Below are 27209 nucleotides of genomic sequence, written 5' to 3'. Positions count from 1 at the left end.
ATAGGAGAAATTGAACATGGAAGAAAATTTAAGGCAATCTACTTAAGGTCATCAAGTAATCACAGAAAAATGTCTTGATATACCAAATTTTATCTACTTAATAAGTCAGATCTGCTTTTCTATTATTCATTAGAATAGATGAAAACTCTAGTCTTAAAATTTAACTTATTGTCCACTTCACACTCTCCAAGCCCCCAGCTTAAATTAAGTGTAAATTGTTGAAACACTCTTTGAATCAACATTTTTTGTTTTTATTTTATTTCCTGTTGAAAGTTAGAGTAGCACATTTTACTGATTTTAGTAAAAAAAACAGACAAAAGAACCCAAATGTCAGGGCTTACTACCATGGTTTGGACCCTGTTTAAATGCTATATTTTAATTAACCTTTTTACCACCCTGTGAAATAAGTGTCCTCATGCATTCTATAGATGAGTGAATTGATACTTAGCACAGCAAGTCCCTTGCACAAGGTCACCTGGCTAGTGTGCGTTCCATTATAGCCCGGGCTCTAAATCATAACATTGTACCCTAAAAGGAAGATTAAATCCATTATCAAGCAATTGAGACATAAGCTAAATTCTACTCATATGGATGTATCAATACAACTTGTGCCATGTATAATCTCCAATATTCAGAGTGTCCTGAATTCAATCCTTTGAGTTCATGGTATTTTGAAAAAGTTGTAAAAAGAGATATGTGCTTTCCTCAGCTTTGGTTTACTCATCAAAAATCACACCACCCCTCATTGAAAGAGTAAAATTAGTGAGTTAGAACAGTCTTTTTTAATGTTTTCATAAAAATGGAAGTACTTTTGATCCTTTCCCTATTGCCAAGTGCAAAGTCACCATCCAGCCTGTTTTCTTACTAGAAAATGACTATAAAAATACAGCCCTTCATCTCTCAGCAGTGATAGATAAGACATACTGAAACAGCATTAATAATTAATGGGCAGACAAGATGAAACTCCAGTTGCTCAGACTGCTGTCTCCACATAATCTGTATTTTATACAAAAGGAGAAAGAACTCAATGGAATTTCAGCTGTGACCGGATAAAAACTGCCAGCAAAATGTGATAAGGAAAGTCTAATGTGTATATTAATCATGTTTATAGCTCCTCATTTGTTGATATATTACCCTAAACTCCCTTTAAAAATATATTTTTGATCACCAGTAGATTCATTTAATGCAACCAAACTCAAATAGAGTCCAATTAAAGGTTCTAATTTTTATTAATCAAAAATAATTAATCTATCTCATAAATCAAGAAACAAATGAGTTAAGGATTTTAGTGCAGGATGAGAAGCATTAAGAAAAGAAATCTAGAAAAGTTTGATATATGATGTAAATATGCCATTGTATGTTTATAGCTTGAGTTAACATTTGGCACTTTTATTATTCAAATTGTTTTTCTAGATATAATGAACATATAAAATGACTCAAAGTGAGACATAGTTTACCCTTGAATAGCGTAGACTTCAAACATGAGGCATTTTTATTTTCTCTGGATCAGTTATAACAAAACAGATTACAAAGTTAGGGCTGGAAATGAAGTGTTTCTAGAGAGGTCTATATTTTTGTGGTTAAAAGCCTAAGAAAATAAGTCTCAGTTTAACCTAGAAGAAAAGGAGTTGTTATGTACAACTTAGTAAATTTTTTTACATTGAAAAAAGCATAGACACTAAAACTTAGGGGAAATTTGTTAAATAATTCCTGAAAGTAACACCTACCTATAGTCATAACTCAAATTTGACACAAACATCAGAATTGAATGGCAGGTGATGGGTGAGAGAGGACAGGGGAAGATACATTAAATGTAGGAATGTGACATTTAGCCACATTATTAAGGATGTTGAAGAGTCAGAAAGCTTTCCCAGGTACACTCAGATGTGTGCTCACTATTTAAAATAGTTTGTTACAGATGTAGTTAAATATTTAGTCTTATAATTTAGATATTAATCTAAATATGTTTGTGGCAGCCATGCTAGTGAAGGAAAGTCCATGAGTCTTGGGAGTAAGATAAATTAGAATGAGCTTTAGAGAAGTCAGGCTGTGGAAAAGTGTAGGGGAAAAAAAAGTCATAAAAATTTTAAAAAGTAAGACCGAAGTACTAGGATAATAACTCTAAAAGGCCACAGGTTGTATTAGCTAAAGGATTATATTAGTGGAATATGTTAACTAATAGGATCAAGGCATAGTGTAGGAACACTTGTATGAATTCATTTCTTTAAAGGGTCAAATAAAGTTACATAGACAAAAATAATTCCTCAGATACAAATTCACCCCCAGCCATGGCTATGTGTAATAACTAAGCCACTGGACCCCACTGGGTGCAGGACAGATGAAGCAGAGTGTATTAGGCCATTCTTGCACTGCTATAAGAAATAATACCAGAGACTAGGTAATTTTTAAAGAAAAGAGGTTTATGTGGTGCATGGTTCTGCAGACTATACAGGAAACATAACTCTGGCATCAGCTTCCACGGAGGCCTCAAGAAGCCCACAATTACAGCAGAAGGCAAAGGGGGACCAAGCACCTCATATGGTGAAAGAGGTAGCAAGAAAGAGAGAGTGTGGCAGGGAGGTGCCATACACTTTTGAATGACCAGATCACACAAGAACTCACTCACTGTCATGAGAACAGCACCAAGGGGATGGTGCTAAACCATTCTTGAGAAATTCTCCCCACAGTCTGGTCACTTCCCACCAGGCCCCACCTCCAATGTTGGGGATTACAATTCAACATGAGATTTAGGTGAGGACAAATATCCAAACTATATCATCGAGGTACCTGAGTTTAAGTCAATTCATCAACACCTTTGGAAAAGTAATTCACAGCTCTTTCTACCAGTGGCCAATCAGTATAATCATTATTCCCATAAAGGAGATAATACATTATTAGTAAATTTAGCAAAAATCTCATAAGCTGAGATATTGCTGGAATCTGAGCTTCCAGGTCATCTAAAGCTTGGATGTATTATGTGATGAATAATGCACAAGATGTAGAAATGCATGACATACCAAGGCAATCTCTCTGGGTTTGTTTATTCACTTGTCGTAAGAGTTTGTTTATTCACTCATATAGAGATAATAATAAGCTTCATCTGTATGGCTCACAGGAATCGAGTCAGGATTTTATTTTTAAAGTGAAAAGTGTGAAAGGGGGCCTACAAAATTACAAAAGCCACACAAATATTAGGTGTCATTATTAAACTACAAGCTTTTTCACCTTTCTATAAAGATTCCTAAGTATTGGGGATTAAAGCTGGGACTCTGGGTCTCTAAACCTTGTTCATCTCCCTTAGAAAGTCTACCATTGGCTTGCAATCAGAATTTCCCAAATGAGGCCTGCAGAGTACTAGTTCCACAGAAAATTAGTAAATCTCATCCCCAAAACAAATTCCTATGCTGAAATCTATTTGAGAAGTAGGTTTCTTTCCTGCAGTATTTCTCAGAGCCTTTAATATGCAAATTAAGGATTTCTAACAAGAAGTATATTAGATGGAGCTTTCCCAAACTTATCTGACCATGGAAATTGTTTATTACAGATAATCTCTTCTGGTTGTTATTCTGCATAAATTGCTTTAGAAAACACTGATGAAATTTTTCGTAATTTCTCAAAATGTACGCACTGAAGACACACTAGCTTCTAATCTTCTTAAAGTTCAGAGTGCTAATATTGAGACCAGCATTTCTCAAAATGTGGTCCCTTGAGATCCTTGTTTAAAACATGAATTCCAAAGGCTGGCCTCAGAAGTCATGCAAAATCACAGGAATCTGCATTTTTACAGGCTCCTTGGGCAATTCTAAACCAAGTTACCCCAGACCATGATCTGCAAAATGCTGCAGAAGTGGGCAGTGGTGTGGATCCTGTGGTTTTAATGGTTCATTAGAATAAGATGTGCCTCATCTGTGATAGACCTGTGCTTTTTGAACCGGGAAAACAGAAGATCATCCTCAAAAATCTCGGTAGATTGCCTTAAGTACCCACTAGTGCCTACTTCTGCTGATTGACCAGCAGGCTGTCAGGACCGTTGTATTATGCACATAATGCCTCCTGATGTAATATACTGACTTTCTAAAAAAAAAAAAACCACCGAGGCATACTTCCATCCTTCATGAGTAAGAGCGCAAATATTTTCCTACACGAATTCTTTGAAAAATCCAAATTTATATGTCTGGGAAAGAAGTTTAACATTTGCTAGCAGAGCTACTATAAATAGAAATAGAAAAACTGGACACTCTCTTTGATTTTGAACATAATAAAGTGAAGTAATACTGTCTAAAAATATTCAAGATGCCTACATGACTTTATAAACACAGCAAGCTCTGGATAAGAATACATTTTGATATTAACCTGGAAAGTTGATCTTAGGCTATTTTCTCTGTAAAACCCACCTATTCTGCAGCTCATATTAATGAGCAGAAGTGCTATGTTAGTGTGGAGGGGGCACATTTATTCTCTCTGTAGCACTAAAAGTCTTTGGTGCAGGACCCTTTTTGCGTATTTCTCAAAATAGTATGAGATTGCTGTGTATCCATGAATACCCAAATGAGAAAAAATGCCTGTTCGGCTGGCTCTGGGCAGTATTTGTCACTGGCTGTTCGGTCCATCAAACCGCAAACTCATAAGTTAATTTCTCATCACATTTTTGTAAAATGAAGGAAAGAGTGAGCTCTGGAGTCAGCTTACTTGAGTTTGAATCCTAGCTCTTTCATTTACTTAGGCTCTTAAACTCTTTAAGTTTCAGGGTTTTCATCTGTAATATGAGACAGTAATAGCACCTACTTCTCAAAATTGTAATGTGACTCAAATGACAAATGCATAATGCCTGGCATATATACTCAGTGCTCAGAACCACTAGTTTCTATTTTCTCAGTCCCCTTCAGCGCTGGGATTATATTTTATAGCTCTTCTATATTCCTCACTGAGCCTAGAAAAGAGCTTCACACATAGAAGGGAACCATTAATGATTTCTGGAAGTTGAAACAATGAACATGTTTTGCTGAACTGAGGACTTTTAAAAATATCCAAATGTTTTCTTTGGACATTAAGAATATTGTGAGACAGTTTACATTCCCACCACTAGTACAGCCACTATGTAAAACAGTGTGGATATTACTTAAAGAACTAAAAGTAAAACTATCATTTGATCCATCAATCCCACTACTGGGTATCTACCCAGAGCAAAAGAAGTCATTATTCAAAAAAGATACTTGCACATGCATATTTATAGCAGCACAAATCACAATAGCAAAATTGTGGAACCAACCCAAATCCCCATTAATCAACGAGTGAATAAAGAAACTCTGGTGTGTGTATATATACACACACACATATACATATATATGTGATAGAATACTATTCAGCCATAAGAAGGAATGAATTAACAGCATTGGCAATGACTTAGAAAAGATTACAGACTATTATTCTAAGTGAAGTAACTCAGGAATGGAAAACCAAACATCATATGTTCTCCCTGATATGTGGGAGCTAAGCTATGAGGGTGCAAAGGCATAAAAATGATACAATGGACTTTAGGGACTTGGGAGGGGAAGCGTGGGAGGGGGCAAGGGATAAAAGAAAACAAATATGTTGCAGTGTATACTGCTTGGGTGATGAGTGCACCAGGTTCTCTCAAATCTCCACTAAAAAACTTACTCATGTAATCAAATACCACCTGTACCCCAATAACTTATGGAAAAATAAAATTTAAAAATATAAAAAAATAAAATTTAAAAAAATGTATTGTGAGACAGGTGGGATGCTGTGGCTCATGCCTGTAATCCCAGCATTTCAGGAAGCTGAGAGGGGAGAACAGCTTGAGCACTAGAGTTCGAGACCAGCCTGGGCAACATAGCAAGACCCTGTCTCTATTAAAAATTTAAAAAATTAGCCAGGCATGGTGGCACACACCTGTAGTACTAGCTACTTGAACTCAGGCAGCTTGGCTCCGAAGGCCCACACTTGACAATTATTAGGAATCAGTCTTAGTTCATTTGGGCTGCTCTAACAAAATATCACAAACTGGGTGGCTTATAGACAACAGGAATTTATTTCTCATAGTTCTGGAGGCTGAGAAGCGCAAGATCAGAGCTCCAGCAGAGTCCATGTCTAGTGAAGGCCTGCTTCCCCATAGATGACATCTTTTCACTGCGTCCTTACATGGCAGAAGGGGTGGTGGAGCTACCTTGGGCATCTTTTATAAGGCTGAGGCAGAAGGATCACTTGAGTCCGGGAAGTCCAGGCTGCAGTTGGCTGTGATCATACTACTGCACTGTAGCCTGGGTGACAGAGTGACAGAGTTTCTGTCTCAAAAAAAAAAAAAAGAAAAAAAATATTGTGAGACAATTCCAAGAAGAGTAAGATACGTGGTAACATGATTTTGTCTCAAAATCCTGCTTCTCCATTCTGAAGGCAGGAATCACAGTGGGCTTCCCACTCCTGCCCCTCTCTTGACATCGGGCCTTGTCTGTGTGCTCCTTTTAACACATTTTTTGAAATGATCCTTTTGAAAGGTGGAGATAATCTTCATGGAGAACTTAAAGGTGAAACATGCTGTCAAAATAATAATGATTTATTGGTGAAATTACCATACTGCTATCTGCACTTTGGTCTTTAAGAAAGTATCTTTTTGGTCCTACCCAAATAGCAAGGCAGTGAAGTACTTCGTAAGGTAAAAGTAAAATTACTACTATGAAAAATGTAGTGTGTGCTGACAAATATCTCTTACATGCTGGCGTGTGGTAGAAATGTTGCAAGACAGAATGCCAGGAAAAGCTACATTGGCTGATTGCACTTTTAACCCAATGATAAGTGGACACTGAAAATCCAATAGAAGAACCACAAATATTTAAGCTGTCATTTCAACCCTACATGTGATGATGGAAGGGTTTATATTAAAGTCTGTATAAAAGTGAAATGATTAGCCTGTATATACACATTAGAATTTTGCTAAAGCATAACTAGTATTTTCCTTGCAGCTGGTATGGCAGGGATATGGATTTTGGGAAAGGGGGACCAAGAGACAAAAAACTGGCTCTTTTAGAGCTGGAGGAAAGTTCAAAGTGGTCTTTCATCCATGAACACTACCTTGTGAGCCTGTTCCTAACTCTATTGAACCAAAATACATTTCTTTTTACTTAAAGCTAAATGTGACCTATTGGGCTGAGACTCGTCACTAGGTCATAAAATCAATTTAGTGGTCAGAAGGCAGTACAAAGAGAATAGAATAGAAAAGTGCTGATCAAAGTGCAAAGTACAGAGTAAGGGTTAGATTTGTTTTGTGAAATTTTCTTTCAGTTATGTGCGTGTATAGCAGATCATGGTGTAAATCGTATTTCTGACTTTGGGTCTCAGTTTTAAAAATTCTGAAAGCTACTAGCTAATAAGCAATATTCCTGTATCAATTTGTAATACAGGTTACCAAGTAGCAAAGAGAGATGTTTCCACTATATCTCTCAGGATGGTGGTCATTGCATATACCTTTTCTGTGCACTTTGCTGAGTTGCCCACCCAGCGGCTAATGTAGCTAATAACTAACATTTACTGAGCACTTATCTGCTGTCAGGCAGTGTGCTAAGTGTTTTACCTGTATTTCAGTCCTTAAAACAACTCTACTAATAAAGTAGTATTATACAACTATTTCAATTTCACAGGTGAGAAAACTGTAACCCAGAGATGTTAAACAAGTTGCTCAGCTTTACACAGCTAGGATTTGAACTCAGGCAGCTTGGCTCCAGAGGCCCACACTTGACAATAATTAGCAACCTGTCTTAGTTCATTTGGGCTGCTCTGACAAAATATCACAAACTAGGTGGCTTATAGACAACAGAAATTTATTTCTTACAGTTCTGGGGGCTGAGAAGTCCAACATCAGAGCTCCAGCAGAGTCCATGTCTAGTGAAGACCTGCTTCCCCATAGATGACATCTTTTCACTGTCCTTACATGGCAGAAGGGGCAGTTGAGCTTTCTTGGGCATTTTTTATAAGGACACTAATCTCATAGCCCTCATGATCTCATCACCCCTAAAGGCCCCACCTCCTGATACTGTCACCCTTGGAGGTTAGGATTTCAACATATGAATTTGGGAGGTGGTAGTGGGGCAGGGAGGGAACACAAACATTCAGACCATAGCAGAGTCTGAACCTCAAAAGGCCAGCCCCTCTCCCATTTTATTTCCAATACCTTCTTCACTGTCCCAAATGAAGGACTTTAAAATTGGCACCTTCCATGGCAATATCCCTGATTATCTCAATTCAACACAACATTCATTAGGTTAAACCATGTGAAATTGCCAATATTTGCCCATATTTGAGCTAGAGGAATGACAGTTTCTTTTATATAGTTCAACCTGATAGTTCTTCCTATGTACAAATGGGTAGTAAAGGATGAATAATGTATTTTCTCCAACAGCAAAGTGGGCAATACATTTATTATCTAATATATTTATTATCTACAGATTGAAGAAAACAGACATTTAAGAGCTTTTCTATTTCACTTTTTATTCCATTCAACTTGGATTTTCATAGAAATATGTTTGCTGGACTCTGTATAATTTTATGGTACAATGTTAGACCTGGGAAGGGCTTTGTCAACTATTCAAACTGAACACTTTTTTTTTAATATATGAGGAAACTGAGACCTAGTGAAATTAAATAACTAATGTCAAGAGTCAATTACTGGCAGAGCTGAAATAAGAATTTAGACTTGTATGCTATTTTATTTCTAGTATACTTTTGTCTACATCAAAATAACTGCCTAAAGGTAGATTAAAAAGTCCTAGAATGTGTGGATCTTATAAACCCCTCCCGCTTTGATTGCCAAGAAGCTCCAAGCTCAATTTAAAACCCACTATTTGTAGTTTCAATCCAATCTTTATTTTCTCTTTGCTTTTGTTTGTTATGTTTTATTAAATGTTTTTGCCCTGACATTTTTATCTTTTAAAATTTTGCCATGTTGCACAATTTGGGGAGATGTCTCATTTTATTTTTCAAAGGAGAGAAAGTTAAATTTCAAAAGTATTTCAGTTATATAAAAGGATTCAACCATATCCATTTGAATTATCAAATGGGCTGTGAGAGGGGAATCAGGATGCTGAATGAGGCTAGCCAGGAAAGGCAACGGGGGCACGAAGGAGCTGGGAGACATAGGGGAAGTTAAGAAGCAATGAAGAATCTGTCCTGAGGGAGCAGCATGCTGCACAAGCAACAGGACTGCGGTAGCGTCATGGTGCTGCCCATCGCCCCTCAAGTGAAAAGTAGCGCCCATCAGATTGGTAACTACACCCTGACCTCAGCTGATGCTTCCTCCCACCACTCTCCTACATAAACCCCTACAGAAAGGCCAGGCCCTTTTACTGTTCCCACTTACTGTAGGGTCTCAACCTCCAGTTGTAACTTGTGTTATTGCCTCCAAGTCACCTCTAAATATATTAACTTTTCAAGGAATTCATTCTTCATTGTGAAACTTCCTGAACACTGACTCCTCAAGTAATCTCTTCTTTATATTAATTTCTATACTAGGTGTAGTTACCAAAATGCTCATATTTTACACCCATATTTTATATTGTGAGCTTCTTAAGGAATGCAATGTGTGTGTCTTCAAAACATGCATCAACACTTTACACAATGGAGATGACCATAATGTATATTAAATAAAAAGAGACAATGGAATTTAACTAATCGTATGTTTCCACACAATATGTTCAGAAATTAAAAGATGCATTAATGTATGAAAGTTTATCTCACTTTTTGCAGCTCTTATTTCTGATTTCCCACAACTATTAGGAAAGTCCTTATACTAACAAAGACAAACAGATGCCAAGGTGCTTTTAACCATTTGATGGAGCCTTAATGATCAATAGGTACTGTTTGCTTTTACCATTTCCAAGAAGTTTAATTTTATATATTAGCTAATTCTCCTAAATCTACTAAAAAGGCATAGGCATTTCAACTTATTGGAATGCTTTTGTTTCCCTAAAATATTTGGTTTTTCATAATTTTTTTCATTCTGCCACTGAAGTGGAAAGGGCAGGGAAACTTTAAGGAATGTGCTACCAATCATACTGTTTATTCTGTCATCAGAAGATTGTGAAATGAAAGCAAGATGGCTTCCAGAAGTTTCCTCAGATAGCTGTTACTTTAATGACCCAGAGCTATGTAACTTTTCAAGTGATAACTCCCTCATTAGTTGGAGCTTTGGTATCCTCTGCCTACATCTTGTTCTCAGCCCAAATCTTCCCTTATCTCACCCAAAGTGCTACATGACATCTTTGTTGTTTTAGGAACCCACAGTTACCATTCCCAGACTGCCCCCACACTATCTCAGTTATGTGTTATATGACACATCTTCAAATTCAGAGAAGGGTACAGAGGAAAAAAAAGGATTACTAGTTTGAATTTTTTTGCTAACAATGTAAAATAACTCATTCTCAAGATAGATTTTTATTCTACATGTGGCTGAGTCTCAGTTTGTATATATAAACTTATGGCATGCAATTGTTTTGCACATACAACATGGTGAGAAGTTGAAAGAATTCAAAACAAGACAGCAGCAACAATATGAATATGAGTAGTAGTTCCCACATGGAAAATACAAATGTTTTGCCTCTTAGAATTTCAAAATATAAAGGACATTTTGGAAAGGGAAAGGAGAAAATATCATACAGAAGAGGGCTAGTGATTGAAAAGGCATCAGACTGCATTTTCTGATAAAAATTTTTGAGGGAGAATGAAAGCTTCTCCCAGTGAATTAGGAGAAGCTATAAGTATCCAAAAGTTAGGAATAAGTAAATATATAGAGAGGGTGTAGGCAGTATGAATCATGAGTCAGGATGGCCAGTATTGTTGTAGCTTAGGGTAGTCAAAGGGGTGTGTGAGGTAAAAAAAGAAATCACCAGTAACTTCTTTAATGTGATGATTATCAATTCCAAGCTGAGGCCTTGAGAAGGCTAATAGGTTTGGTCTTATCCTTAGAGTAGGAACCAAGGTGAAAGATAAGTGAAAAAATAAGGGAACATAGCCTAGGACAGAAAGTAGCATAGGGAAAGTGAATTTGGTGTAAATTTTTAAAGGTAGCAATTACAATTGCATGTATACTGTGTACACACACACACACACACACACACACACACACACACATACATATGTATCCCCTATTCTATGTGTTTGTTTCTTCGGAGAACCCTGATATAGTCCACCATCCAGGAAAAATAGCTCCTGAGGAAGTCCAGATTTCGGACTTACCTGACAAAGATTTTAAATAATCTATTTTAGATATGCTCAAAGAACCAAAGAAAATCATGTCTAAAGAATAAAATGAAAGATTAAAAACATTGTTATACCAAATAGACAACATAAATAAGGAAATAGAAATTCTTGAAAAGAACTAATTGAAGTTGTAGAGTTGAAAAGTACAAAAACTCAAATGAAAAATTCAGTAGAGAACAACAGATTTGAGTTGGCAGAAGAAGAAAATCAATGAACATGAAGAGAGCTCAATTAAGATTATATGGTCTTGGGAATGAAATGAAAAAAAAAAGAATGAAAAAAAAATTCCAGAGCCTCAAAGACTTGTGGCACATCACCAAGCATACCAATATATGCATAATGGGAGTCCCAGAAGGAGAGGTGAGAAAGAAAAAAAAACAGTATTTAAAGAAATAGTAGCCAAAAACAATACCAAATATGCTGAAAATCATTTATCTATGTATCCACAAAGTTCAACAACTCCAAGTGGGATAATCTCAAAGACATTCAAACTTAGACACATCATAATCAATCTCTAGAAAGAAAGACAAAGACTCTTGAAAGCAGGACAAGAACAACTCATCGAGTACAAGTAATCCTCAATAAAATGAATAACTAACATTTAATCAGAAAATATAAAGGCCAGAGAGCAGTGGGATAAAATATTTAAAATGCTGGCAAATAAAACTTCTCTATCCAACAAATATATCCTTGAAAATAAAGGGAAAACTAATATATACTCAGATAAACAAAAATGGGCAGACTGTGTTGCTAGCAGAACTGCCGTACAAGAAATACTCAGGAAAGTCCTTCAGTCTGAAATGAAAAGACCCCTGAAGAATAATTTGAATTTATGTGAAGAAGTAAGGAGAACTGGAAAAGGTAAATATAAAAGACATAGAGATTTATTTTTTTGTTTGTTACTCTTTTTAAAAATCCTATCTGATTTTAACAACAACTGCAAAAGCAATAACTATAAATCTGTGCTGATGGCCATATAATGTAAGAAGATGTAATTTGTGTGCAACAGTAGTACAAAGGAGTAGAGTTGGAGTGGACCTATACATATTTTATATGCTATTAAGTTGGTATTAATCCAAAATAGAGTATTTAAATTTAGATACAAATTGTAATCACCATGGAACTAATAATACAATATGTAAAAATATAGTAACAGAAACAAGAAAATAAATAAGTTAATTATTGGTGACTCATGATGTGGAGCATCATTTCATATGCTCACTTGCCATCTGTATGTCTTCTTTGGGGAGGCATCTGTTAGATATTGGGGCCATTTTTAATTTGGTTGTTTGTTTTCATATTGTTGAGTTTTAAGAGTTCTTTATATATTTTGGATAAGCGTTCTTTATCACATGTCTTAGTTCCCAGAGAGTGACAAGAAGACCTGCTGAAGTTTGGTCTCAGTCAAACGTTGCTAATCTTTAAATGTTGGCCCACTGTCTGAGCCACAGAACCTGCTCAGTGCAGTTTGTCTTAACAAAGTGTATTCATCTATTTTCACACTACTGATAAAGACATACCTAAGATTGGGAAGAAAAAGAGGTCTAATAGACTTACAGTTCCGCATGGCTGTGGAGGCCTCACCATTATGGCAGAAGGCAAGGAGGAGCAAGTCACGTCTTACATGGATGGCAGCAGGCAAACAGAGAGCCTGTCTAAGGAAACTCCCGTTTTTAAAACCATCAAATCTTGGCCAGGTGTGGTGGCTCACACTTGTAATCCCAACCCTTTGGGAGGCCAAGGTAGGCAGATAATAAGGTCAAGAGATTGAGACCATACTGGTCAACTTGGTGAAACCCTGTCTCTGCTAAAAAAAAAATACAAAAATTGAGGCGTGGTGGCACACACCTGTAGCCCCAGCTACTTGGGAGGCTGAAGCAGGAGAATCACTTGAACCCAGGAGGCAGCAGTTGCAGTGAGCTGAGATCGCATCACTGCACTCCAGCCTGGGTGACAGAGCGAGACTCTGTCCAAAAAAAAAACAAAAAAAAAACCACCCAATCTCATGAAACTCAATCACCATCATGAAAACAGTGCAGGAAAGACCCACTCCCATAATTCAATCACCTCCCATTGGGTTCCTCCCACCAAATGTGGGAATTGTGGGAGTTACAATTCAAGATGAGATTTGGGTGGGGACACAGCCAAACCATATCATTTCACCTGTGGCCCCTCTCAAATCTCATGTCCTCACATTTCAAAACCAATCATGCCTTCCCAACAGTCCCCCAAGGTCTTAACTCATTTCAAGTCCACAGTCCATCTACAACCATCTGATCTTTGACAAACCTGACAAAAACAAGAAATGGGGAAAGGATTCCCTATTTAACAAATGGTGCTGGGAAAACTGGCTAGCCATATGTAGAAAGCTGAAACTGGATCCCTTCCTTATACCTTATACAAAAATTAATTCAAGATGGATTAAAGACTTAAATGTTAGACCTAAGACCATAACAACCCTAGAAGAAAAGCTAGGCAATACCATTCAGGACATAGGTATGGGCAAGGACTTCATGTCTAAAACACCAAAAGCAATGGCAACAGAAGCCAAAATTGACAAATGGGATCTAATTAAACTAAAGAGCTTCTGCACAGCAAAAGAAACTACCATCAGAGTGAACAGGCAACCTACAGAATGGGAGAAAATTTTTGCAATCTGCTCATCTGACAAAGGGCTAATACCCAGAATCTACAAAGGACTCCAACAAATTTACAAGAAAAAAACAAACGCCCATCAACAAGTGGGCGAAGGATACGAACAGACACTTCTCAAAAGATGACATTTATGCAGCCAACAGACACGTGACAAAATGCTCATCATCACTGGCCATCAGAGAAATGCAAATCAAAACCATAATGAGATACCATCTCACACCAGTTAGAATGGCAATCATTAAAAAGTCAGGAAACAACAGGTGCTGGAGAGGACATGGAGAAATAGGAACACTTACACTGTTGGTGGGACCGTAAACTAGTTCAACCATTGTGGAAGACAGTGTGGCGATTCCTCAAGGATCGAGAACTAGAAATATCATTTGACCCAGCCATCCCATTACTGGGTATATACCCAAAGGATTATGAATCATGCTGCTATAAAGACACATGCACACGTATGTTTATTGCGGCACTATTCACAATAGCAAAGACTTGGAACCAACCCAAATGTCCATCAATGATAGACTGGATTAAGAAAAGGTGGCACATATACACCATGGGATACTATGCAGCCAAAAAAAAAGGATGAGTTCATGTCCTCTGTAGGGACATGGATGAAGCTGGAAACCATTATTCTGAGCAAACTGTCACAAGGACAAAAAATCAAACACCGCATGTTCTCACTCATAGGTGGGAATTGAACAATGAGAACACTTGGACACAGGAAGGGGAACATCACACACCAGGGCCTGTTGTGGGGCGGGGGTAGCAGGGAGGGATAGCATTAGGAGAAATACCTAATGTAAATGACGAGTTAACGGGTGCAGCACACCAACATGGCACATATATAGATATGTAACAAACCTGCACGTTGTGCACATGTACCCTAGAACTTAAAGTATAATTTAAAAAAAATGTCCAAAGTCCAAAGTCTCATCCGAGACAAGGCAAGTCCCTTCTGCCTATGAGACGGTAAAATTAAAAGCAAGTTAGTTAGTTACTTCCTAAATACAATGTGTGTACAGGCATTAGGTAAATACAGGTGTTCCAAATGGGAGAAACTGGCCAAAATAAAGGGGCTATAGGCCACACACAAGTCCAAAATCTGGCGGGACAGTCAAATCTTAATTCCAAAATTATCTCCTTTGACTCCATGTCTCACATCCAGGTCATGCTGATGCAACAGGTGGGCTCCCACAGCCTTGGGCAACTCTGCCCCTGTGGCTTTGCAGGGTACAGCCCTCTCCCAGCTGCTTTCACAGGCTGGTGTTGAGTATCTGAAGCTTTTCCAGGCAAATAGTGCAAGCTGTTGGTGGATCTACCGTTCTGGGGTCTGGGGGATGGTCACCCTCTTTTCAGAGCTCCACTAGGTGGTGCCCCAGTAGGGACTCTGTGTGGGGGCTCTGATCCCACAATTTCCCTTCTGCACTGCCCAGCAGAGGTTCTCCATGAGCACCACACCCTGGCAGCAAACTTCTGTCTGGGCATCTACGTGTTTTCATACATCTTCTGAAATCTAGACAGAGGTTCCCAAACCTCAATTCTTGACTTCTGTGCACTCACAGGCTCAATACCATGTGGAAGCTGCCAAGGCTTGGGGCTTGCACCCTCTGAAGCCAGGGCCCCAGCTCTACATTGGCCTGTTTTAGTCAGGGCTGGAGCAGCTGGGATGCAGGGTACCAAATCCCTAGACTGCACACAGCACAGGGACCCTGGACCTGGCCCACAGAACCATGTTTTTGTCCTATGCCTCTGAGTCTGCAATGGGAGGGGCTGCCGTGAAGACCTCACACATGCCCTGATGACATTTTTCCCATTGTCTTGGAAATTAACATTTGGCTCCTTATTACTTATGCAAATTTCTGCAGTGGCTTGAACTTCTCCTCAGAAAATGGGATTTTCTTTTCTTTTGCATTGTCAGGCTGCAAATTTTCCAAACTTCTATGTTCTGTTCTCTTATAAATCAATTTTTTTAACAGCACCCAAGTCACCTCTTGCATGCTTTGCTGTTTAGAAATTTCTTCTGACAGTTACCCTAAGTTATCTCTCTCAAGTTCAAAGTTCCACAAATCTCTAGGGCTGGGGCAAAATGTTGCCAGTCTCTTTGCTAAAACGTAACAAGAGTCACCTTTTCTCCAGTTCCCAACAAGTTCCTCATCTCCATCTGAGACTATCTCAAGTCTGGACCTTATTGTTTGTATCACTATAAGCATTTTTGTCAAAGCCATTCAACGAATCTCTAGGAAGTTCCAAACTTCGCCACATTTTCCTGTCTCTTCTGAGCTCTCCAAACTGTTCCAACCTCTGCCTGTTACCCAGTTTCAAAGTCACTTCCACATTTTCAGGTATCTGTTCAGCAACACCCTACTCTGCTGGTACCAATTTACTGTGTTAGTCCATTTTCATGCTGCTGATAAAGACATACCAAAGACTGGGAAGAAAAAGAGATTTACTGGATTTATAGTTCCACATGGCTGGGGAGACCTCACAATCAAGGCAGAAGGCAAGGAAGAGCAAGTCACATCTTACATGGATGGCAGCAGGCAAAAGGAGAGCTTGTCCAGGAAACTCCCATGTTTAAAACCATCAGATCTCATGATACTTACTCACTGTGACGAGAACAGTGCAGGAAAGACCCACCCCCATAATTCAATCACCTCCCACCAGATTCCTCCCATGACACATGGGAATTGTGGGAGTTACAATTCAATATGAGATTTGGGTGGGAACACAGCCAAACCGTATTACTAAAAGTGTGTAACATGGAAGTGTAGAGGGCAATATAACTCGCTGCTTGCACAGGTCTGTCACTGCTTAGCAAGGACCAAGACTAAGTAAGGAATTTACAGACCATTTTTCTCTTTTCCTTTTCTTTTCTTTTCTTTTCTTTTCCTTTCCTTTGCTCTTTCTTTCTTTCTTTCTTTCTTTCTTTCTTTCTTTCTTTCTTTCTTTCTTTCTTTCTTTCTTGTTGAGGAGGTTACATATACAGGACTGTTATGTGGATATATTGCATAGTACAGGGGTTTGGGCTTCTATTGAACTCATCACCCAAATAGTAAACATAGTACTCCATAGGTAGCCTTTCAAGCCTTTATCCCCTGTCTCCCTCCCCCTTTTTAGAGTCCTCAGTGTGTTCCCATCTTTACATCCATGTGTACCCATTGTTTAGCTCCCACTTATAAGTAAGAACATGTGGTATTTGATTTTCTGTTTCTATGTTAATTCACTTAGTGTAAATGCTTCTAGCTGCATCTATGTTGCTGCAAAGGACATGATTTCATTCTTTTTTTAATGGCTGCATAGTATTCCATCGTATATACACACCACATTTTCTTCATTCTCTCCACCATGAATGGGCACCTTTATTGATTCCATGACTTTGCTATTGTGAATAGTGCTATGATAAACAAACAAGTGCAAGTGTTTTTTGTTTTTTGTTTTGTTTTTGGTAGAATAATTTCCTTCCCTTGGGGTGGATGACCAGTAACAGGATTGCTAGGTCAAATTGCAGTTTTATTTTCAATTATTTAAGAAATCTCCAAACTGCTTTCCACAAGGCCCAAACTAATTTACATTTCCACCAGTAGTATATAACCATTCCCTTTTCTCCACATCCTCACCAGCATCTGTTATTTTTTGACTTTTTATTAATAACCATTCTAACTGTTGTGAGATATCTCATTGTGGTCTTGATTTGCATTTCTCTGATTATTATCGATGTTGAGCATGTTTTCATATGTTTGCTGGCTCTTTGTACATATAGACCATTTTTACGGTTACATTGAGAAGTGTCTGCGGTAGCTCTCAGTAGGAAGCAAGAAATGGAGTGTGCACACAGAAGGATCTTTGTGGTTCCAATTTACAGGCAAATCCCCTTCTAGCAGCATGGGGAGCCTCCACATTGTAACCTAATCTAGAGGTGTGTTAAGCATTAACACGGCAAGGCTTAATCTGCAGGGGGGATTCCCCAGCACATTGAAGTCTAAACCCTGGGGAAATTGCATATGAGCTCCAGCTGGAAAACACATATGGGAGATGAACAAGTTTATCTTTGTAAACTCTGTTTACAAACAAGGTGCATTTGCTCTCCACACAGTTTGTCTTTGCCACTGGCACTTGAGGAATCCAATTTCAACTTTAGAATGACAACTTTGAGTTACCCCCAAAATTGTATTTGTCTCTTGCCAGGGTTCTCCCTTTTAAGGCAATCTCCTTGGCCCAGAATGATAGAACTGGGATACATTCGTTCAGTCAAAAACATATTCTAATACTTATTGGATGAGCTCTATGGTTCAGGATATGTAAGAAGGGCACACAAAATTTAATTAGACATTCTCTCTATACCCAAAAGTCATCTGATAATACACAGAAAGCAATAATGTTAGTACAAGACATCTAATGCTAAGAAAGGAGGATTATCAGCAATAGCATCAGAAGAGTTGTGGGGAATCAGAAAAAACTTGATGAACACCGTAGCTTGTGAGCTTAAAAAAACAAACAAAATTTCAGCTGAGAGAAATTGCAGCTCAGTGAAGGCTGATGAAACTAATAGTAAAGGCTTGAAAGACAGGAAAGTAGAGGAAGTGTGAGAAAAGGATAAGTCATTCAATTTTACTAAAACACAGACTACGAAGAGAGTGTGAGGAAAATCCATCAAGGAAAGGGGGCTGGGATCAAATCAGATAGGTCCAAAAATGTCAAGCTATGGACGTTATAACAGTGACCTGCGGATACGGGAGTAAGCCAAGCAGACACAATTTCCTGCCCTCATGGAGCTCATATTCTAGTGGAGGGACAGGGTGTCTTAAGGAAGCCAGTTGAGATGAAGGGCACAGAAAACACAGTGGCAACAATAGCTGTTGCCTACTGTGTGTGTGCAGAGTGTTAAGCATTTTCCATATGGTACACCAAGTTTTCACAGAAGATTTTAACTGCAGGATTCAAGTTAAGGAAACTGAGGCTTTAGAAAGGCTGGTGACTTACCCAAGAGTGTCCTGATGGCTGGACCAGAATCCAAATTCATGTCTCTCTGGTACCACAGCCCATATCATTCTGCTCCAGTATGGATGAGAGAGAGAGAGAGAGAGAGAGAGAAGACAAGAAGCTGGGAAAGTAGTTGAATTTCTACTCTTAAGAATCCAGGAGAAAACTGGTGAAATTTGGTTGGATTCTCCTGGTTAAGAATCCAGGAGAAAAATAAGGTGAACTCAGGTGAATGAAAAAGAAAGGGTGGCCACGGCTGATGTCGTGGAAGTAGATGGATAAGATTTAGTGACTCACTGAATTTGAGAGGAAAATAATAAGGAGTATTTAGAGACAAGCCTATGGGAGTGATCCTGGGGAAATGAGAGAATGCATGAATAGAATCATGCGAGAAATGGAAAATTTCTAAAGATTTGGGGGCTAAGGGGGATTCAACAAGTTTATCCAACGAATATTTGTTATTCATCTGCTTATTTAACAAATATAAAATGGAGCATGCCATATGCTAGGCACTGGTTGGACACCAAGAACAAACCCAAAGTAAAAGCCACTCTCCTTGGGCTTGTGCTCTGGTGAGGGATGGGGCACTAAAACTGTAATCACACTAAAAATGCATAATGACAAACTGGGAAAAGGCTCAACAGCACGGATTTCCTAACCTTTTTGCATAGTGGATTCACCTGATACCTATGTCCCCCTCTTTAGAGTGCATGGTTTAAATGTTCTGGGAGTGGCCTGAACTTTGGAAGTCTCAGAACCTCTCTTGGTAGTTCTAATATGCAGACAAGTAGACAACAGCAGAACTAAGTACTTGTGACCTAGATCACATGGCCTGCAAAGCTGAAAATATTTGCTATCTAACTCTTTACAGAAAAATTTTGCTGACCCCTGCTCTAAAGGAAAAGAATATGGTCTCAGAGAGCATATAACAAAGCAACAGGAGCTAACATGAATGGAGGGGCACTGGGGATGCAGTTAGGAGGCTCCTTTGATATTTCAGTTTGTGTAGGAAAGTTATCTGGGAGAAGGGGACAGTAAGAGCACTACAGGCAGAAGAAACAGAAGGAGCAAAAGTCCCGTTCCAATTGTTCATTGCTATTTAATGGACCAGCCAAAAAACTTAGTGGCTCAAAACAACACTCAGTTTAGGATTATCTTTCACAATTCCAGGGGTAAGTGGGCTCCCTGAGGCAGTTCTTGCTCAGGGTCTCTCCTGTAGTTGCAATCAGACTGGCAGCTGAGGCCAAAGTCATATTGAAGGCTTCTTCCCTTCCTGTTTGGAGGATGATGTCACTGTAAGCTCGACCTTCAGCTTGGCCTGGACTGACAGAAGCACCTACCCACGGAAGACCTCACCACATGTTCTCTGTGTTCTCACCATGTGGTGGCTGGATTTCAAGAGTTAGCCTGTCAGGAGAACCAAGTGGAAGCTCTGTTGCTTTTTGTGACTTTTGTTTGTAAGTCATAGAGCATAGTTTCTGCAGTAACCATAGGACCACTCAGAATCAAAGAGAGAGGGCATAGGCCTATGTCTGCTTAGGAGGCTTGTCAATGTCACATTCTAAGAATGGCCTATGAGCTGGGACCTATTGTGATGACCCTCTTTGGAAAATACTATCTGCTGCAAACACAAAGAAGCATGGAATGCTTCAGCATCTCAAAGGAAGAGCATGTGGGAGAGATGAGGCTAGAGAGATGGTGAGTCGAGACGGGGCCTGTCTGCCCATGTGAAGAATTTTTATCTTCTTCATAAGCCATGGGATTTTAATGGATTTTAATAATGCTGGTATTTAATACAGTGGTGAGGCTATAAGCACAAACTGGACACAGACAACTTGGGTTCAAATCCCACCTCTGCCATTTGCTTGCTATGCAATGTTGGATGTTATGCAATCTCTCTGCACCTTGATTTCCTTATCTGTAAAATGAAGGAAGTTGTTATTTTCTTTACTTTGTCTTTTTGTTTGTTTGTTTTGTTTGTTTGTTTTTTGTTTTTTTAGTTTTGACTAGGCTGTGTCTTTTTTATTTTACTTTTATGTTCAGGGATACATGCAGGTTTGTTACATAGGTATACATATGCCAAGGTTGTTTGCTACACCTATCAAGCCATCTAGTTTTTTTGTTTTGTTTTGTTTTGTTTTGTTTTCCTTTTTCTTTTATTTTTTTGAGATGGAGTTTCACTCTTGTCATTCAGGCTGGAGTGCAATGGCACGATCTCGGCTCACTGCAACCTCCGCCTCCCAGGTTCAAGCAATTCTCCTGCCTCAGCCTCCTGAGTAGCTGGGATTACAGGTGCCCACCACTACACCTGGCTAATTTTTGTGTTTTTAGTAGAGACGGGGTTTCACTAAGTTCGCCAGGCTGGTCTTGAACTCCTGACCTCAGATGATCCACCTCCTTGGCCTTCCAAAGTGCTGGGATTACAGGCATGAGTCACCGCGCCCAGCATGGTTTTTTTTGTTTGTTTGTTTGTTTTGTTTTGTTTTGTTTTGTTTTCTTTTTGAGACAGAGTCTCATTCTGTCATCTAGGCTGGAGTGCAATCTCAGCTCACTGCAACCTCCACCACCTGGGTTCAAGTGATTTTCCTGCCTCAGCCTCCCAAGTAGCTGGGATTACAGGCGCCTGCCACCATGCCTGGCTAAGTTTTTTATTTTTAATAGAGACAAGGTTTCACCATGTAGGCCAGGCTGGCCTCGAACTCCTGACCTCAGGTGATTTGCCCACCTTGGCCTCCCAAAGTTCTGGGATTACAGGCGTGAGCCACCACACCTGGCCCATCATCTAGGTTTTAAGCCCTGCATGCATTAGGTATTTGTCCTAATGCTCTCCCTCCCCTTACCCCCCAACCCCCAACAGGCCTCAGTGTGCAATGTTCCCTTCCCTGTGTCCACGTGTTCTCATTATTCAGGAAGTTGTTATTTTCAACAGTAAGTATCTCATAGAGAAGTTGGGACAGCTAAATGGTTTAGTACAAGTTAGTACTTACGAGTTAGTGTCTGGTCCTTAGTAAACATGACAAAATGGTTATCTAATGTTATTACTCGATACCTGCTGGGTAGTTAGTGTTCCATCTCTGGCTTAAAGTGGAATGCTAGCTCTCAGGATAAGCTCGGTGCCTTTCTTGTACTCCAATCAGGGGTTGCAGGCAACTCGAACCCTTGTTTCCTTCATTCTAGATTTTAATACTGTTGCCCAAGGACCTGACCAGCATCCCCGTGTCACCATCACATCTTCTGCCTTAGAACACAGTGTGGCTCCTGCAGGGGGAGAAGTGCTAAAGATTTGACATCCGTCATTACCCAGTGGGCTGTGCAGAAGAGGTTCCTCACATTCCCCAACCCACCACAGCTTCCCAAGTCCTTTCTCCTGTAAGGAAAACCCCTGAGGCTAGCCAGTTTCCTCAGTTGTCCTCCCCAGACCAAGCTCTGTTGGGCACCTGCAGGGCCCTCAGCCTGCAATGAGGTGGAGCTCCCTGCTCCAAATAACTTTTTTTTTTTTTCTGGCTAACTCCTTCTTATGTTTCAAGATTAAGCTTGGGCAGCACTTCTTCTAAGACCATCTTTCTAACCCTTTCCCTGCTCTATCCCCATATTATACCACTTCCATTTGTGTCAAGACCAGGAGCTGCTATGCAATTTGTGGGACCCAGAGCAAAATGAAAAGGTGGGTTTCCTTGTTCAAAATTATCAAGAATTTCAAAGTAGCAGTAATACAGCATTATATCAAGCATGGGGCCCTTCCAAATACTGGGTACAGCAGGACTGCATAGGTCACAGGCCCAGGAAGTCAACCCTGGTCAAAACACTTACCAGGCTACACTCTAATTGTCTGCATCCTTGATTGCTTCTGCCATTAAACTAGAAGCCACTTTAGGGAAAGGACAGCCTCTTTGTATCTGCTACTTAGTACAATCAGTCTTGAAGAAAATTACGTGAATACACTAACTGATAACTAACACCAACAACACAGCAATAACAAAAGAGGATAGAAGAGACACGTCTTGAATCTCCTGCAGACCCTGATAGGAAATGGATCAGATCAGAGACTTTGGAATCAGATGTCATGACGCTAACCCACCGAGACCTCTCAAAACCTTGGGACATCTTCCTAACACTCACCAATCCTCAGTGGCTTCATCTGTAAAATGCACAAAATCACAAAGCCTACCTCTTAGAGCCGCTCCAGGGATGGAATGAGAATAATGCATGCTCAGCTATGCCTTGTACTTACAAATTAGTTCATTAATAATAATTATCCCTAATGAACCAAGGCAGTTAAACTAGGAATGGTGTTTTCTGCTTTTCAAAGGACTTTTATATGAATGATCTCATTTGACTTAAAATTCACTATTATTATTTTAAAGATGATGGAAAGAAAACAAGCTTTAAGTTATCCATCCAGAAGATAAGGGTAGAATAAGCCAGGCTTAGATCTCTTTATCCTAATTCATATTCCTTCAATTGTACCAGGGGTGATATTGCTTTCAATGAAATAGATCTATGAAAATTTTCTGCCCAGGGCCTTTTAAATAATATAACTAAAATTTGATTTTTTTTCTGACTACACTACACGGTAAATAGCTGCCATATGATTTCATACACTCAGAATTAAGGAACTAGTGGGGGTGATTTTGATCTTACAGATTGCTTCTGGCTCTTTAAGTGCAGTGAGACACACACTGAGACATTCATTCTTTAATTTGGTGCCACTTAAAGGTTCACTGCTTTTGCTGATGTTGGGTATAAAATATAGATCTACAAATAATTGTCTAGAGAGGGAGTAGCTTCAACTTAAAGATAAAAGCTTCACTGAACCTTCCTCCCTAGGTCAGTGGGATGGTCTTTAAATCTTATGATCTTGACTTCTTGCTGACTGATAAGGCAATTGTAGTTTTTTAGGGAAGTTGAAATATTTTAAAAGAATATAAAAGCTTTCACATTGGAGTGACAGTGAATAGACTTGAGAAGGGAGAAATTTTGACATGGTTGTTATGTAGAAATTATTTTTTCCTTGAAAAAGTAAAGGTCTGGGAAAACAGATAAAGAGAGTGACCTCAAGTTTTTCTCCATTTTGTCAATCCTCTACTGAAACTCCCATTCTTCAAATGTTAGGCCTCATGAATTATTCTATATCAGTATTTTCTCTAATGTTTTTTACCTGATTTCAGTAAAGTCTTCTCTAGTCACTTAGCAACTCCATCACCCCCATAACTAGTCCCCATTTCCTGGTTTATTTTTATTTTTCTCCGAACAACTGATCTTTTTCTAGCTTACTTTATTAGCAAAGTTTAAAATACATATCCATTCTACTTTTTCTTCCACTCCTACAGTACACTGTGCAGTCCTCTTGATCAGAGCTGAATGTGGCCCCTTGCAGACCATAGGCCACTGAAAAAAAAAAGACATGGTATCTGTCACCCCTACCCCATCCAGTCACAAATATACCTCCAACATGCAATGGCAAGGCAAAGCCAATTAACCTGCAATGAAACTCCCAATTGGAAAAAGAAAGGGGACACCTGGAATATATGCAGCAGTCAATGATCTGTAACAGTGATAAATCCTTCTGGGGAGAAGTTAGGAAGGGGTTGCAGTTTTTGGTAATGACAAGGTTGGTGACGACACAGAGATTAAGGTGGAGTAGGGACAAGATCACTAGAAGAAAGGAGTTTAAGGAACTGTAAGACCCAATTACCTGAAGAATCATCAACCTGGGTAACACTGTAAAAAACACCAGCCAGAAAAATGTTTAAAGGAAACTACTTTCATTTCTCAGGTGGACCAAGAGCCCAAGTATATGTGGTAAGGCACAGCATTCAGAGTGCTTGATCATGTGTTTCCTAATTTATATAAAAAGAGGTTCATCTAGGAAAAAAACTCATGCATACATTTACTCTCTTATAGTTTTGTTTCACTGCAAACTTATCTAGCATTCCCTGTCTCTCAACTTTAAGCTTTTGGAGACAGAGATGTACAGTACTCCTACCTTTTTCATTTTGGTGTCCCCAGGCTTAATACAACAGTAGACATTTAATAAACATGTGCTTGGAACTGAATGTAAGTTCATGAGAAAAGAATGTCACTAGCAACTTTGAAATCATCATTCTAAGAAATTTACACCAAGGTAATCTATTGTGAGAACATGAGGATTTTAGAAATACAATGTCAGAGGAGATATTCCCCTAGCAATGGCTATGTGGACTGGAAAGACTTTCACATTTACATTAGTTTGTTTTGAACAGTTCTGAAATTTTCAAATACATAAATCCATTTCCCACAATAACCAGTGTTTTGAAATGTCATCTGATTCCAACATGTCTTACTCTTACTTCAAAATCAGAAGACTTTGACCCTGCTTTAAGGACAAATGATGCTTGTTTTGATATCTTTATTTTTATTTCTAGGCAGGATGTGTCCTTTGGTATCAGAATTTCGCTAGTGTGGATGCAGTTGATTTCAGCAGTGCCCTGGTCGTCCTGTGAGAATGCTGCAGAAGTTATAGCACCCATCTGTTATGTTCTTATAGAACCTGGCCTGTCATACCCCTGGCTCCTCTTTTTACCATTCTTGCTCTGCCTACTCAGACATTCTTGGTCTTTCTTGAAAAAGTAGAATGCAAATATATCTTTCTTAGCCTTTCTCTGCCTCATTTGTTTCATGGTGAATTCTTGGCTTCCCCAATATTTTACGATAATCTCCACAAAGTAGAAAGGGATAGCTGGGAAGTCCAGGTTAAAATATCATGCTGGACAATCTAGATTTTATTTTCATTTTCATGGCTTGAATTACATAATTTCACTGTTAATTATCTTCTTCACACTCTAAAATATCTATCTAGCCTCAGAGTCCAATGCTTTTTCCATCATATTAGTCATTCTTCAAGATACCTGCAGAAGGAAATTTTCCATCTTTCCTAATGTGTAGCCAATGTGAGCCCATTGTTTAGGGTTATGTAGGAATCACTGAGCTCAGCCTGTTCGAGGTGGTTGGCCCTTGGCAGTCATCTATTTTGCTCCCTTCATTTAGCAGATGAGGGAACCAAAGCCCAAGAAAGATAGTGAGCTTATTCTCCATCACACAACTGGTAAGTACTGGAGTTGGGATCTTGACAATGCTACTTCTTCAAGCAGGCTTAAAATATTAAGGTTCAGGACTCTAAGTGGGCCCGCCTGGGAACCTGAGGACAGTTCCTAGTTGTTTAAATGGCCTTTCCATATTTCATTACCAACAGCTACAGCCCAAGTCTGAAAACTCATCTACAGCTATCTAACCTGCAACATGCTTTCCAGGCCCTCTCTGAGGGGGTTAGGGGAAGCTGGGGAGGGCACTGCACAAATAAACACAACAACACTGGCAGACTTTGGAGCTCTGCCTGAAGCAAAGCGCTGCCAGGAGTGAAAGTCATTAAAGACCCTTTGCAAAGGCTGTTAAGAAATGTGCAAACAGCCATATAAACAACACCAGGTCAGGTCATGGAAGGAGACTAGCAACTGGGGAGGCCCGAGAGAGCCTGCCGAAGTGGGAAATTCCCAGCAGGGAGAAGACATTTGGAAAAACAACTCCATCAGGTTTTATCAACACACATCATTTCCTAAGTGCTATATTTTATGTAGAGTATGTGTGGCCTAAATTTAACAAGAGAAGCTTTTATCAATTGCAGTTTTTATCACTTCCAGATATCTCCGTTTCTGAATTACTGGCAACATTGATGCTGTGTTCATTTATCTGGGCTTTCCTGTCCAAACACACCATGGGTGACGCTCTCGGAGAGACCATTTCGGTGGAGAGCAGCGATGACCTGCACACACACGCTTCCTGTTGGACATGCTGTGTTGTTCGGGCCCTACACATGCTGACACATGCTGAATTGTAAACAAACCTAATTAGGCCTGTTGTTCTAATTTTAAGCCTTAGATGAAACAGACATATTAATAATCACAGTGGTAGAGAAACTCCCGCATAAAGGCCATGTTATGAAATACGAGTTTCTCTGCCAGAGTAAAAACTTTGGCACTTCCTTCTTGAGGAAGCTGATGCTGGAGGAAAGTGATTTCACCCATAATTTCCTTGACCTTCTTGGGAATAGCATCAGTGGTCACAAACCTTTAAGGGAGTTGTGCTGAATGCAGAAAAATGATTTCTCCATGTCTGTGACTTTACCTACATGCGGAGAGCAATTATGTGAAGAACAGAGGGAAGTCTTGTTGTGCAGATGACTGCCAGTAGCCTAAATTTTTCTGCTTCTGCTTCTCCATCCAGATTCTTTCCTCTCTAGTCATTCAGGAAGCTCTTTCTGACTGGCC

At 39.3% G+C, this 27209-nt stretch overlaps 1 long non-coding RNA gene across 2 annotated transcripts in view; it reads right to left on the bottom strand.

Moving 5' to 3' along the window:
• Nucleotides 1-27209, bottom strand: part of LOC107986620 (uncharacterized) — a 175866-nt gene that overhangs the window by 9297 nt on the left and 139360 nt on the right. The gene's annotated exons all lie outside the window — the stretch shown is intronic.

The sequence above is a fragment of the Homo sapiens genome, chromosome 6 (genome assembly GCF_000001405.40).
Source record: "Homo sapiens chromosome 6, GRCh38.p14 Primary Assembly".
Lineage (NCBI taxonomy): Eukaryota > Metazoa > Chordata > Mammalia > Primates > Hominidae > Homo > Homo sapiens.
This window is presented reverse-complemented; position numbering and strand designations above follow the sequence as displayed.